Source organism: Homo sapiens, chromosome 14 (genome assembly GCF_000001405.40).
Source record: "Homo sapiens chromosome 14, GRCh38.p14 Primary Assembly".
NCBI classification, from domain to species: Eukaryota; Metazoa; Chordata; class Mammalia; order Primates; family Hominidae; genus Homo; species Homo sapiens.
This window is the reverse complement of record NC_000014.9, coordinates 73,129,995-73,144,758: the sequence shown is the minus strand read 5'-3', so window position 1 is coordinate 73,144,758 and position 14,764 is coordinate 73,129,995. Positions and strand designations below refer to the sequence as shown.

The 14,764-nt window shown below is 46.7% G+C and overlaps 1 protein-coding gene across 10 annotated transcripts in view, besides 3 other annotated features; it reads right to left on the bottom strand.

Annotated features, from left to right (window-relative positions):
• Positions 1-8,342, bottom strand: part of PSEN1 (presenilin 1) — an 87,275-nt gene extending 78,933 nt beyond the window's left edge. For 2 of the 10 annotated variants that reach the window (XM_047431600.1, XM_011536974.3), the window contains exon 1: positions 6,607-8,252. The gene's annotated coding sequence lies outside the window, so the exon portion shown is untranslated. Of the gene's footprint in view, positions 1-6,606; positions 8,253-8,310 lie in introns of those variants that run through there. The other 8 variants (XM_011536972.3, XM_011536973.3, NM_000021.4 and 5 more) reach the window with 5 other exon arrangements.
• Positions 7,793-7,902: an enhancer, noted in NCBI's record as "active region_8694". NCBI's record gives its function as "activates an Ori minimal core promoter by ATAC-STARR-seq in GM12878 lymphoblastoid cells {active_cell/tissue: GM12878}" and the evidence as "EXISTENCE:reporter gene assay evidence [ECO:0000049][PMID:35858748]".
• Positions 8,073-8,132: a silencer, noted in NCBI's record as "silent region_5905". NCBI's record gives its function as "represses an Ori minimal core promoter by ATAC-STARR-seq in GM12878 lymphoblastoid cells {active_cell/tissue: GM12878}" and the evidence as "EXISTENCE:reporter gene assay evidence [ECO:0000049][PMID:35858748]".
• Positions 8,393-8,472: a silencer, noted in NCBI's record as "silent region_5904". NCBI's record gives its function as "represses an Ori minimal core promoter by ATAC-STARR-seq in GM12878 lymphoblastoid cells {active_cell/tissue: GM12878}" and the evidence as "EXISTENCE:reporter gene assay evidence [ECO:0000049][PMID:35858748]".

The following is a 14,764-nucleotide window of genomic DNA, read 5'->3' as shown; positions in this document are numbered from 1 at the left end:
ATTATTCACTAAACAAGAAAGACACTGTCTACTTATATGTAAAACTTAGAGACATTATTAAACTAAGGCTTAACAAACTAATTTATGATATTCCCTTTATCCTTTTACAGATGAAAACAGTGTGGCACACAGAAGTTCACTTGCTTAAGGTCACATCTGGCAAGTGAGGAGTTGGAATTCACAGAGTACACTATATTGCCTCTTTATAAAACTCCAAACCTGCCCCGTAGGAGTTTACAGCAATGAGGATTACGGTATTTTGAAGCGATTTTGATTACTAGTAAATCTATTACTTAGAAGTAAATGAGATCTTAAACTTCAAAAACTGCTCTAAGTATAAATTCAAAACTGAAGCACCAAAAGCATTTTCAATAATCTCAATATCCTAGTATTTATGTTTTTTTAAAAAAGGATAAGCTGGCTGGGCGCAGTGGCTCACGCCTGTAATCCCAGCACTTTGGGAGGCCAAGGTGGGCAGATCACAAGGTCAGGAGTTCCAGACCAGCCTGGCCAACATGGTGAAACCCGATCTCTACCAAAAAATACAAAAATTAGCCAGGCATGGTGACGTGCACCTGTAGTCCCAGCTACTCGGGAGGCTGAGGCAGGACAATTGCTTGAACCCAGGAGGCAGAGGTTGCAGTCAGCTGAGATTACGCCACTGCATTCCTGCCTGGGTGACAGAGTGAGACTCCATCTCAAAAAAAAAAAAAAAAAAAAAAAGATAAGCTATAATGCAAATCTTTTTTTTTTTTTTTTTTTTTTTTTTTAAGAGACAAGGTCTCACTCTGTCACCCAGGCTGGAGTACAGTGGCAATCATAGCTCACTGCAGCCTTGAACTCCTGGCCTCAGTCGATCCTCCCACCTCAGCCTCCCAAGCAGGTGGGACTACATGGGTGGCTAGTTTTTTATTTAGAGAAAGGGTCTTGCTGTATCGCCCAGGCTGGTCTTGCCTGGCCTCAAGCAACCCTACCACTTCAGTCTCCCAACTAGCCAGGATTACAGGCCTGAGCCACTGCAGCCACTGGTCATTTTAAAAGAAGTAGTTTCCATTTTTACCCTATGCTAACAGGATCTGTTCGGTTATTACAAGAAACCATACAAGCTGGTACAAACTGGTCACACTGGAGCTTTCTCAGACAAATCCCATAAAAATCATCAATAACACAGCAGTCACTTTAGCATTTTCCAATACTATCTTCAAAGTTCTTTTCACATCTATTCTTCCATTTGAGTCTTAAAGAAACCTCATGAGGAAAGGAATCTGTACTGACATGTAAAAAAAAACTCAGAAAAGGTGAAAGATTTTGCCTGCACAGAGTTACAGAGAGAGTGTAAACAATGCCAGTTGCAGAACCCAAGTCTTCTGATGCCCAGCCCAAGTCTTTTCCAGTTCACCCAGAGAAATCTTGTGCCTCCCTTGATGCTTCCAAAGATCACAATGCTACAAGGTGAGCCTCCCTGGGAGAGCTGCTCTTTACAGGGGGCTCGGTAGGAAGCAGAGGCAGGCAACAGGGCTAGGTCTTCAGTCAGGCCTGGTGAACAAACAAGCGCTACTGGTACAAAGAAAGGGGCAGGCAAAGCTAGATTTGATTTCGGTCCAGTATCAGCTGAAAACAATTGAGGATTGCATGGCGGTCAATGACCCCACTGTTCAGGCAGCGTGGCAAAAGACACTAGGAGACTTTTTAACATTCTTAGCCATGAACATTCTTAGCCCTGTGAACAACAAAAACAACAACAGTTACCCAGATCTGAGGATCTTTCATGGGACCCGAATTGAGGAGTAGGTGGGAGTAGGGACAGAATCTACTCTGGTGTTTTTGCTCTCTGGTCACCTGCTGCAAACTGACAGAGCACAACACTTGAATTCACTGACATCCATTTTCTTAATCTCAAGACACTTGCTCAATCAGACAAAAGGAAAAAGAAATCCTTCTCTGATGGGAAACTAGCATTTATCTATTATATACAAAGAGATTTTAAAAGCCCCAGGAGAACTACAAATAATCTCGAAGCTCAGATGTGCTGAACAGAAGTCTAACCAGAAAACCTTCTACTCATCAGCACTTCAGAAATTATCACAGGAGCAATGTTCAGAATCTCACAATAAGTTTATTAAAAATGTAATTCAAGAAAGTACCAACAGAAAAGAATTAATACGTTTTCTTCTCTCACTACATCCCAATGTAACAACAAAACCTCAAACTCCTGCAGAACATGGTTACTTATTGATTCCATTTTCTTTTTTCACTCTCAGACATAAATATAAACAAAATTTCTACTGTGGAAAAACATCTTCAGGGGACTTTTAACCATGATCTCTAGCACAAAGGGCTTGTGGCTTGTTTTAATGTCTCTAAGCTACTTGACTAGTTTCTCTTTCACTGAGAAAACTGCTACAAGTATTTTCTGCTGCATCTGCACTGCAATGCTAAGTTTCAAGTGCCAATGAGCTTGTGATTTATTCTTTATTTTACAAAAGTATTTAATCAGCCTCAGTGTTACTTTGAAAGCTTCTCCCTGGACAGGCGGCCCAACTTCTAATGTTATGAATGGGCTGGAAAAGCCTCTACTTGAGTTTTTAAAGGATCACATCCAATAGTAAATGTAACCGAACTCTAAATTCCAACCTATAATTGAAATTATTATTATTATTGAGATGTAGTTTCTTTTCTTTTTTTTTTTTTTGAGACGGAGTCTCCCTCTGTCGCCCAGGCTGGAGTGCAGTGGCACAATCTCAGCTCACTGCAAGCTCCGCCTCCCAGGTTCAGGCCATTCTCCTGCCTCAGCCTCCCAAGTAGCTGGGACTACAGGTGCCCGCCACCACGCCTGGCTAATTTTTTGTATTTTTAGTAGAGACGGGGTTTCACTGTGTTAGCCAGGATGGTCTCGATCTCCTGACCTCGTGATCTGCCAGCCTCTGCCTCCCAAAGTGCTGGGATTACAGGCGTGAGCCACGGCACCCGGCCAAGATGTAGTTTCACTCTTGTCGCCCAGGCTGGAATGCAATGCCACGATCATGGCTCACTGCAACTTCCACCTCCTGGGTTCAAGCAATTCTCCTGCCTCAGCCTCCTGAGTAGCTAGGATTACAGACGCCCACCACCATGCCCAGCTAATTTTTGTATTTTTAGTAGAGATGGGGGTTTCATTTAGCATGTTGGCCAGGCTGGTCTCGAACTCCTGACCTCAGGTGATCCACCACCTTAGCTGGGATTACAGGCGTGAGCCACTGTGCTCAGCCTATAATTGAAATTAATAAAAAAAATTTTTAAACTAATTTAAAAACTTTAGGAATACATCCTCAAAAGACTCCTCTGGTTTTTAAGAGACTAGGAGCAAATCATTTCTCCAGCCCTATAAAAGGCTTTGTGAAAGCAGCAGACGCTAAAAAGAGCAAGGGTAGTGATACATCCCATTTGGTGATTTTTTTTTTTTCTCCTTCCATCCCACTCCACCTCTGTTAACCATCTGTGGTAGATTAGATTATTATTCAGCCAATATTCACTCCCTCCCCCAGCCTGGCCAAGGGAGGAATACACCTCTCTCCAGTGATGTTATAGGCTTGGCTCTGTAGTTTGCTTGGCTGCATGGTGGTTGCAGTCTACTACCCACTCCTAAGTCTTTGGGCATGATCATGTGACTTGCTTTGGTCAATGCAATCTTAGCAGATGTGGCATAACCAGACATTTGAACTATGCTTATGCAGTTGGCCTTGACTTCTTGTACTTCTGCTGGTGCCTTGAGAAAAGCTTATCATGGATAGCCACTGCCCCTTCAGCCTGGGCCCCAGAATAAGGCATACAAATAAGAACTGCCCTCACCGATCCACACATCTACCTACAAGGAAGCAGAGCCCTGAGTGAGAATACATGCTCTGAACTGCTGAGTTTGGGGGAGGTCTGTAATGTAGAGTTACTATAGCAACTTGTTTTTAAATAATGGTTATGTTGGCTCAGAAAATGCAATAAAAACGAACAAAGACTTAGAATCGCAAGTCCAGAATCCCTTATCTGTAACTTTTAGGACTAAATGTGTTTAGAATTCAGATTTTTTTGGATTTTGTAAAGGTACTATGCAAATGCCAGAAGTTATATAATGCCCCTACAGGGTCTTAGAAGCAGAAAAGCAAACAAATTATTAAGCTATAGTGAAACAAATGAATAGTTTTAAATCACATTAAAAAAAGAAAATAAAGACGATAACTAGGCCAGATTTTGCTGTTAAATTAGTTATAAAAAACCTTGGCCAGGTGCAGTGGCTCGCACCTGTAATCCCAGCACTTTGGGAGGCTGAGGCGGGTGGATCACGAGGTCAGGAGTTCGAGACCAGCCTGGCCAATATGGTGACACCCCACCTCTACTAAAAATACAAAAATTAGCCCAGTGTGGTGGCACACGCCTGTAGTCCCAGCTACTCGGGAGGCTGAGGCAGAAGAATCACTTGAACCTGGGAGGCGGACGTTGCAGTGAGCTGAGATTGTGCCACTGCACTCCAGCCTGGGCGACAGAGGGAGACTCTGTCTCAAAAAAAAAAAAAAAAAAAAAAAAAAGAATAGCAAAAAAAGAAAAACCTTTTAGTTTTCGGATTTCAGAACTCTGGATATGAGACTATGGTCCTATATACCTTTGTATAATTATAAAGAATCTTTCCCAATAAGTTATTTAATTTCAATAACTCTATAAGGGAGATATGATTATTCAAAATCATTGTCTAAAATTCTGAGGAAATGGACAGAATACAACTAATTTTTAATGAAAAATGATTATTTACGTCTAATTAATTTGTAAATCACTTGTTATATTTAGCATTGCCTGCAGTCTTTCTTTTGCTTTGATCAACTTAAACAAGAAACCGTACAAGGCGTTGTGAAAAGCCAATACTAATACCTTTTTCCTCACTCTCATCCAAGCAAGAGTATTAATATCTTTCAATCAACAAACATTTACTGGGTTTCTTCTATATAAGCACACACTTGATGAGGGTTGGGAATTCTAATTAATCAGGTATTACTTCTGTTTACTTAAGGAGCTTACTATCTCTAGAGGGCAAAACAAGTAAATTTTTATACTGGTTAGATATTGAAATAAAAATATGTTAGGTATATTGTGTTAAAATAAATTATTCACATTGGTTTCATCTGTTTCTTTTTGCCCCCCTTTTTTTTCTTTTTTTCTTATGGAGTCTCGCTCTGTAGCCCAGTCTGGAGTGCAGTGGCATGATCTCGGCTCACTGCAACCTCCACCTTCTGGGTTCAAGCGATTCTCCTGCCTCACCTCCCGAGTAGCTGGGATAACAGGTACACGCCAACACACCCGGCTAATTTTTTGTATTTTTAGTAGACACAGGGTCTCACCATTTTGGCGAGGCTGGTCTCGAACTCCTGACCTCAGGTGATCTACCTGCCTCGGCCTCCCAAAGTGCTGGCAGATTACAGGTGTGAGCCACTGTGCCCAGCCTTTTTTTAAAAAAAAAACGAAGTCTCACTCTGTTGCCCAGGCTGGAGTGCAGTGGCGCGATCTCGGCTCACTGCAAGCTCCGCCTCCTGGGTTCACGCCATTGTCCTGCCTCAGCCTCCCGAGTAGCTGGGACTACAAGTGCCTGGCACCATGTCTGGCTAATTTTTTGTACTTTTAGTAGAGACGGGGTTTCACCGCGTGAGCCAGGATGGTCTCCATCTCCTGATCTGGTTATCCACCCGCCTCGGCCTCCCAAAGTGCTGGGTTTACAGGCGTGAGCCGCTGCGCCCGGCCACCCAGCCTCTTTTTACATTTTTTTTCTTTTTTTCTTGACAGAGTCTGGCTCTGTCGCCCAGGCTGGAGTGCAGTGGCGCGATCTCCGCTCACTGCAAGCTCCGCCTCCCGGGTTCACGCCATTCTCCTGCCTCAGCCTCCCGAGTAGCTGGGACTACAGGCGCCCGCCATCACGCCCGGCTAATTTTTTTTTTTTTGTATTTTTTAGTAGAGATGGGGTTTCACCGTGTTAGCCAGGATGTCTCGATCTCCTGACCTCATGATCCGCCCGCCACGGCCTCCCAAAGTGCTGGGATTACAGGGGTGAGCCACCGCGCTCGGCCTTTTTTTACCTTTAAAAATGTGTTTATGGCTAGGCACAGTGGCTTGTGCCTGTATCCCACCACTCTGGGAGGCCAAGGCGGGAGGATCACTTGACTCCAGGAGTTCAAGACCAGCCTGGGCAACATAGTGAGGCTCCCATCTCTAAAAAAATAAATAGCCGGCCGGGCAGGGTGGCTCACGCCTGTAATCGCAGCACTCTGGGAGGCCGAGGCGGGCGGATCACGAGGTCAGGAGATCGAGACCATACTGGCTAACACGGTGAAACCCCGTGTCTACTAAAAATACAAAAAAATTAGCCGGGCGTGGTGGCGGACGCCTGTAGTCCCAGCTGCTGGGGAGGATGAGGCAGGAGAATGGCGTGAACCCGGGAGGCGGAGCTTGCAGTGAGCTGAGATCGCGCCACTGCACTCCAGCCTGGGCGACAGAGCCAGACTCCGTCTCAAAAAATAAATAAATAAATAAATAAATAAATAAATAAATAAATAATAGTATGTTTATTAGAAAATTTAAAATAGGGATAATCACCTTGTGGTTCTCCCAGTCTGCATGCTAATAAATTTGTATGCCTTTTCTCCAAAAGAAAAACAAAACAGGTTTTTTTTTTTTTTGAGACAGTCTCACTCTTTTGCCCAGGCTGCAGTGCAGTGGCATAATCTTGGCTTACTGCAACCTCCTTCTCCCGGGTTCAAGTGATTCTCCTGCCTCAGCCTCGCTTGGGAGCAGCTGGGACTACAGGCGCGCGCCCCCACGCCCAGCTAATTTTTTGTAGAGCCGGGGTTTCGCCGTGTTGTCTGGTCTCGAACTCCTCAGCTCAAGGATCCGCCCCGCGGCCTCCCAAAGTGCTGGGATTACAGGCGTGAGCCACCGCCCCGGGCCTCACATTTTATTTCTATTGGCTAGCGCTGCTCTAAATCTTCTGTTCCTTCTGCTACACCAGGCCTAACACTCAAAATCCCTGCCAACCTTTTCCTTCCTGAAGCTTCCCTCCCCTTCCTCAGCTCTGGCGACCCTGCGCTGTGGTGGTTCTCCAACCACACTCATTCTCCTCAGCTGGCTCCTTGCTCTTCTTCCACCCCCTCGTTGCAAGTGTTCCTAAGTGTTTGCCTTGGCCTCCTCTTCCCCTTCCTTAGCTTAGACTTCTCCACTGCTCCAACATCAACTGGAAATCTATGGAATTGATTCCTGTTTTCAGCTCCAGTCCTGTTCACAGGGCATTTTCACCTGCTGGCACTTCCAAAGTGACACTTCCAAACCACTTCCTCGCCCTCCTCTCTAAACCAGGTCTTTCTTCCTAACTTCCTTATTTCTGAGAATGTCTCTGCCATGTTCTAAACTGAAAACCTCCTAGTCAACTTCACACTTTATTCCCTGATCCTCAATTGGTTCCCATGTCCCGTTAGTGTTTCTTGTAAGCCTCTGCCACCACCGCAGATCGAACTCTAATCACATCTCACCTGAATTATGGAAAAGTCACCTCAATTCTCTCACCCATCCCAGCCTCCACTATGGATTAATATGCCTAAAGCAGAGCTGACCACAACGGTGAGAAGAATCTGAGAGGGAAGCAGCAGCAAACACAAGAGTCACTGGACATGCATGCCTCGAGACAGTCCCGACCAAGGAGAAAGCATCAGACCCCGTCTTCCGCCTCGAACAAGAGGCGTGCGGACTTCGCCCAGAATGCTCGTCGCCCCTGGACAAGGACACACCCGGGGCGTGAGGCGCGGAGTTTCACCAGTTGCTCAAGCAGACCCAGCCCAAGACGCTTCCTCTTTCTCCTACTCCACTCCAGTTCAGACGGCTACTAATCCCGGCCCAAGGCACCTGCGCCCTGAGACGTCTTCGAGCAAACAGCATTTCCGGACCAAGGCTCCCCGGAATCTCTCTCCACCCGGCCGCGCCCGAAGCCCGAGAAACGGGCCGCCCCTCCTGGTTTCCCACACGGGGTTCCCCAGCCCCAACCGGCCGCGCCCCGCCCCTCATCTTTTAGGACACCGGCTTCGCGGCCCGGGCGGCCACAAAGGGCCGGGCCCTGCCCGCGGCCGCCCATGTCCGCGGTGCCTTCCTGGCTTGCCCGGACTCCCCATCACGCACATACGCTTCCCCGCCGCCCCGCTGCCGCCGCGGCTCGTAGCTCAGGTTCCTTCCAGACCAGCCGCTGTTTTGTTTCCGATGTGAAACCGCGGACCCCGGAGCTGCCTGTCCCAGGCCCCGCCCGAGAACCCTCACCGTTGTCGTCATTTCCGGCTCTGGCGTCGTTGGCGGCCGGCCCACGGAGGAGGGGAGGAGCCAGGAGGAAGGGGGCGGGGCCTCCGGCCTGGAGAAACGATTGCGGGGAGAACCCAGAGCTCCACCTGGCCTTCCCCACCTGACGGAATCCGCCCAGAGCGCTGGCGTGGGTTGTCGGGGTTCTGAGGCTGCTCGAGCTGAGGACGAAAGCCCCTATATAAATTGGGCCCAGCGTGTGCTTCTCCCGGCATACAAGCGATGGCCATCCTAAATTTAACACCTGTCATTTCTTTAGGGTACCTATTTGCGAACCAGCTGCATCACAATCAAGAGAATGCTGTTAAAATCGCAAATATCTCTGCCCTCTCCCACCACTCAATGAATCAAAACTTCTGGTGGGTGGCGAGAACCTGAGAAACTGCATTTTAAACATCCTCCGCGATTCTTGGACTCCAACTTTGACAACCAGTCTTTCTAGGTGGCAAGCTAGCTGAGAGCAGAAAATGTGTCTGGTTTGCTGGGTCACTTGATTTTTGCATCTGCCTGCTCTTTGTCCAGTTTTGGTAAAGACAGTACCAATGTCTAATTCATTAGACAGCATACCACACTTACACATATATCCAAAAGCTAAAACTAAAAAATGAATACTACCTTATTTAATCAAGGTGAACGGAGAAATGTCAAACATGGGTATTCAAAAAACCGAAAATGAAATTAACGGTACATGGTATCTGGGCAAGTTACATTCTTCTAAAGTTTCTTTAAAAATCCACCCCCAAGCGGCCGGGTGCAGTCGCTCACGCCTGTAATTCCGGCACTTTGGGAGGCCGAAGCAGGCGGATCATGAGGTTGGGAGTTCTAGACCAGCCTAACCAACATGGTGAAACCCCGTCTCTACTAAAAATACAAAAAAATTAGCCGGGTGTGGTGGCGCGCTCCTGTAATCCCAGCTACTCGGGAGGCTGCAGCAGGAGAATCGCTTGAACCCGTGAGCTGAGATCACACCACTGCACTCCAGCCTGGGAGACAGAGCAAGACTCCATCTCAAAAAATAAAAATTAAAATTAAAAAATAAAATCCACCCCAAGCTATCCCTTCACATTCCTATCGCATCAATCTCCAATCCCTCCTCCCAACCCACTGCCAACCTTGTTCAAAAACATGAGATTCTAATACTTTTTACACACAAAAGCTTCATATTTAAGAACAAAAGTAATATTTTCCATTAGCAGAATGAAAGATAAGTTGTGGGAGAAGGTTGAACGAAAAAAGATGTTTTTAAAATTCTTCACCTCCCCCACTTTAACAAGAGTAGGGATTTTAGTTTGTTCATTTACAAGTGCTCATGCTTGTCAGCAGCACATATACATTTTACAAGTGCTGAGAACAGTGCCTGATACATAACAGTGCCTGATACATACAATAGTTCAGTATTGAACAAATACAGGCTAAAACCCATCTATTTGTGAACTACTTCAATCTGATTGCAGTCCGCTAATATTAATAGGATGTCTTAAAATGCTGATGAACTATTCTTAGAAACAATCTACAAAAATTTTGGGCAAAGATATTCATGGAATATTATATAGCAAAAAATTGGGAAACTAAATATGGTACAATAGGCAGGGTGCGGTGGCTCACGCCTGTAATTCCAGCACTTTGGGAGGCCAAGGTGGGCGGCTCATCTGAGGTCAGGAGTTCGAGACCAGCCTGATCAACATGGAGAAACCCCGTCTCTACTAAAAATACAAAAAAAGTTAGCCAGGCGTGGTGGCGCATGCCTGTAATCCCAGCTACTTGGGAGGCTGAGGCAGAATTGCTTGAGCCTGGAAGGCAGAGGTTGCAGTGAACCGAGATTGCGCCATTGCATTCCAGCCTGGGCAACAAGAGCGAAACTATGTCTCAAAAAATAAAAATAAATAAATAAATAAATAAATAAATAAATAAATAAATAAATAAATGTGGTACAATAAATTATGGTCCACCCACCTCACAGAATGTCATGAAAATTTTTCATGAACGCCTGGTCACGGTGGCTCATGCCTGTAATCCCAGCACTTTGGGAGGCCAAGGCAGGAGGATCACTTGAGGTTGGGAGTACAAGACCAGCCTGGACAACATGGTGAAACCCCGTCTCTATTAAAAATACAAAAATTAGCCCGGCATGGTGGTGTGGGCCTGTAATCTCAGCTACTCAGGTGGCTGAGGCTTGAATCTGAGAAGGAAAGTTTGCAGTGAGCCGAGTTTGCACCACTGCACTCCAGCCTGGGAGACACAGTGAGACTCTGTTTTTCCCAAAAAAAAAAAAAAGTCCTGCAACAAAAAGGCAGTAAGATTTTAAAAAAATAGCAAACCCTAACATTGAATAACCAGCCTTCAGATAATTTTCTTCTCATTTTCTTTATGTCCTACTGTTAGGCCTCTGAGCCCAAGCCTTCACGTATACATCCGGATGGCCTGAGGCAACTGAAGGACCACAAAAGAAGTGAAAATGGCCAGTTCCTGCCTTAACTGATGACATTACCTTGTGACATTCCTTCTCCTGGATAATGTCTCTGGAGCTCCCCACCAAACACCTTGTGACCCCCGCCCCTGCCCACAAGAGCACAACCCCCTTTAACTGTAATTTTCCACTACCTACCCAAATCCTATAAAACTGCCCCACCCCCATTTCCCTTTGCTGACTCTCTTTTCGGACTCAACCCACTTGCACCCAAGTGAAATAAACAGCCTTGTTGCTCACACAAAGCCTGTTGGTGGACTCTCTTCACACGGACGTGTGTGTCATTTGGTGCTGAAGACCCAGGACAGGAGGACTCCTTCGGGAAACTGGTCCCCTGTCCTCACCCTCACTGCATGAGGAGATCCACCTATGACCTCGCGTCCTCCCATCAATCAGCCCAAGGAACATCTCACCAATTTAAAATTGGGTAAGCGGCCTTTTCACTCTCTTCTCCAGCCTTCTCACTACCCTTTAATCTCCCTGTCCTTCCAATTCCAGTTTTTTCCTCTCTAGTAGAGACAAAGGAGACACATTTTATCTGTGCACCCAAAACTCTGGCATTGGTCACAGACTCGGGAAGACAGTTTTCCCTTGGTGTCCAATCACTGCAGGAACGCCTGCTTGATTATTCACTCACATTTCAGAGGTGTCTGATCACCACGGGGATGCCTGCCTTGATCCTTCACCTTGGTGGCAAGTACCACCTCCCCTTGGTGGCAAGTACCTCCTCCCCTGGGTGGCAAGTACCACCACCCACTCCAAGTCTCTACCCTCTCTTTTCTCTGGGCTTGCCTCCTTCACTATGGGCAAACTTCCACCCTCCATTCCCCTTTCTCCCTTAGCCTGTGTTCTCAAGAACTTAAAACCTCTTCAACTTACACTTGACCTAAGACCAAAACACCTTATTTTCTTCTACAACCCTGCTTGGCCCCAGTACAAATTCGACAATGGTCCCAAATAGCCAGAAAACGGCACTTTTGATTTCTCCATCCTACAAGATCTAGATAATTTTTGTCGAAAAATGGGCAAATGGTCTGAGGTGCCTGACATCCAGGCATTCTTTCACACATTGGTCCCTCCCTAGTCTCTGCTCCCAATGCAACTCGTTCCAAATCTTTCTTCTTTCTCTCCTGTGTGTTCCTTCAGTCTCCACCCCAAGCTCTGAGTCCTTTAAATCCTCCTTTTCTACGGACCCATCTGACCTCTCCCCTTCTCCCCAGGCTGCTCCTCACCAGGCCGAGCCAGGTCCCAATTCTTCCTCGGCCTCCACTCCCCCACCCTATAATCCTTCTATCACCTCCCCTCCTCATACCTGGTCTGGCTTACAGTTTTGTTTCGTGACTAGCCCTCCCCCACCTGCCCAACAATTTCCTCCTAAAGAGGTGGCTGGAGCTGAAGGCACAGTCAAGGTTAATGCTCCTTTTTCTTTATCTGACCTCTCCCAAATCAGTTAGTGCTTAGGCTCCTTTTCATCAAATATAAAAACCCAGCCCAGTTCATGGCCCATTTGGCAACAACTCTTAGATGCTTTACTGCCCTAGACCCAGAAGGGCCAGAAGGCCATCTTATTCTTTTTTTTTTTTTTTTTTTTTGAGATGGAGTTTCACTCTTTTTGCCCAGATTGGGGTGCAATGGCCCGATCTCAGCTCACTGCAACCTCCGCCTCCCGGGTTCAAGCGATTCTCCTGCCTCAGCCTCCCGAGAAGCTGGGGTTACAGCCATGCACCACCACGCCAGGCTAGTTTTGTATTTTTAGTAGAGACGGGGTTTCTCCATGTTGGTCAGGCTGGTCTCGAACTCCTGACCTCAGGTGATCTGCCCGCCTTGGCCTCCCAAAGTGCTGGGATTACAGGTGTAAGCCACCGCGCCCAGCCCTAAGGCCATCTTATTCTCAATATGCATTTTATCTGCTCCCAACATTAAAAAAAAAACTCCAAAAAATTGGATTCCAGCCCTCAACCTCACAACAGGACTTAATTAACCTCGCCTTCAAGGTGTACAATAATAGAGAAGAGGCAGCCAAGTGACAACGCATCTCTGAGTTACAGCTACTTGCCTCTGCTGTAAGACAACCCACAACCACGTCTCCAGCATACAAAAACTTCATAACATCCAAGCCACAGCTCCCAGGGGCTCCTTCAAAACCTCCTCGTGGACCTTGCTTCAAATGCCAAAAGCCTGGCCACTGGGCCTTGGAATGCCCACAGCCCGAGATTCCTCCTAAGCCATGCCCTGTCTGTGCGGGCCCCCACTGGAGGTCAGACTGTCCGACTCACATCGCCACTGCTCCTAAAGGTCCTGGAGCTCAAACCCAATGTTCCTTGGCCGACTCCTTCCCAGACCCACTCAGCTTAGTGGCTGAAGACTGACGCTGCCCGATCGCCTCAGAAGCCTCCTGGACCATCACAGATGCTTTAGGTAACTCTTACAGTGGAGGGTAAGTCCATCCCCTTCTTCATCAATACGGAGGCTACCCACTCCACATTACCTTTTTTTCAAGGGCCTGTTTCCCTTGCCTCCATAACTGTTGTGGGTATTGACAGCCAGGCTGCTAGACCCCTTAAAACTCCCCCACTCTGGTGCCAACTTGGACAACATTCTTTTATGCACTCCTTTTTAGTTATCCCCACCTGCCCAGCTCCCTTATTAGGTTGAGACATTTTAATAAATTATCTGCTTCCCTGACTATTCCTGGGCTACAGCCACACCTCATTGCCACCCTTTTCCCCAGTTCAAAGCCTCCTTCGCATCCTCCCCTTGTGTCTCCCTACCTTAATCCACAAGTATGGGATACCTCTGCTTCCTCCTCAGTGACCAATCATGCACCCCTTTCCATCCCATTAAAACCTAATCACCCTTACCCTGCTCAACGCCAATATCCCATCCCACAGCAGGCTTTAAAAAAGTTAAAGCCTGTTATCACCTGCCTGTTACAACATGGCCTCTTAAAGTCTATAAACTCTCCTTACAACTCTCCTATCCTACCTGTCCAAAAACCAGACAAGTCTTACAGGCTGTTCCAAGATCTTCGCCTTATCAACCAAATTGTCTTGCCTATCCACCCAATGGTGCCAAGCCCATATACTCTCCTATGCTCAATACCTCCCTCCACAACCCATTATTCTGTTCTGGATCTCAAACATGCTTCCTTTACTATTCCTTTGCACCCTTCATCCCGGCCTCTCTTCGCTTTCAATTGGACTGACCCTGACACCCATTAGCCTCAGCAACTTATCTGGGCTGCACTGCCACAAGGCTTCAAGGACAGCCCCCATTACTTCAGTCAAGCCCTTTCTCATGATTTACTTTCTTTCTGTCCATCTGCTTCTCACCTTATTCAATATTCTGACGACCTTCTACTTTAGAGCCCCTCCTACAAATCTTCCCAACAGGACATCCTCCTGCTCCTCCAACATCTGTTCTCAAAGGAATATCGTGTATCCCCCTCCAAAGCCCAAATTTCTTCTTCATCCATTACCTATCTCGGCTTAATTCTTCATAAAAACACACGTGCTCTCCCTGCTAATCGTGTCCAGCTAATCTCCCTAACCCCAATCCCTTCTACAAAGCAACAACTCCTTTCCTTCCTAGGCATGGTTAGATACTTTCGCCTTTGGATACCTGGTTTTCCTATCCTGACTAAACCATTATATAAACTCACAAAAGGAAACCTAGCTGACCCCATAGATCCTAAATCCTTTCCCCACTCCTCTTTCCATTCTTTAAAAACAGCCCTAGAAGCTGCTCCCCACACTAGCTCTCCCTAACTCATCCCAACCCTTTTCATTACACACAGCTGAAGTACTGAACTGTGTGGTCGGAATTCTTACACAAGAACCAGGACTGCGCCCTGTAGCCTTTTTTGTCCAAACAACTTGACCTCACAATTCTGGGGTGCCCTCATGTTTGCATGCGGCAGCAGCTGCCGCTTTAATACCTCTGGAAGCCCTC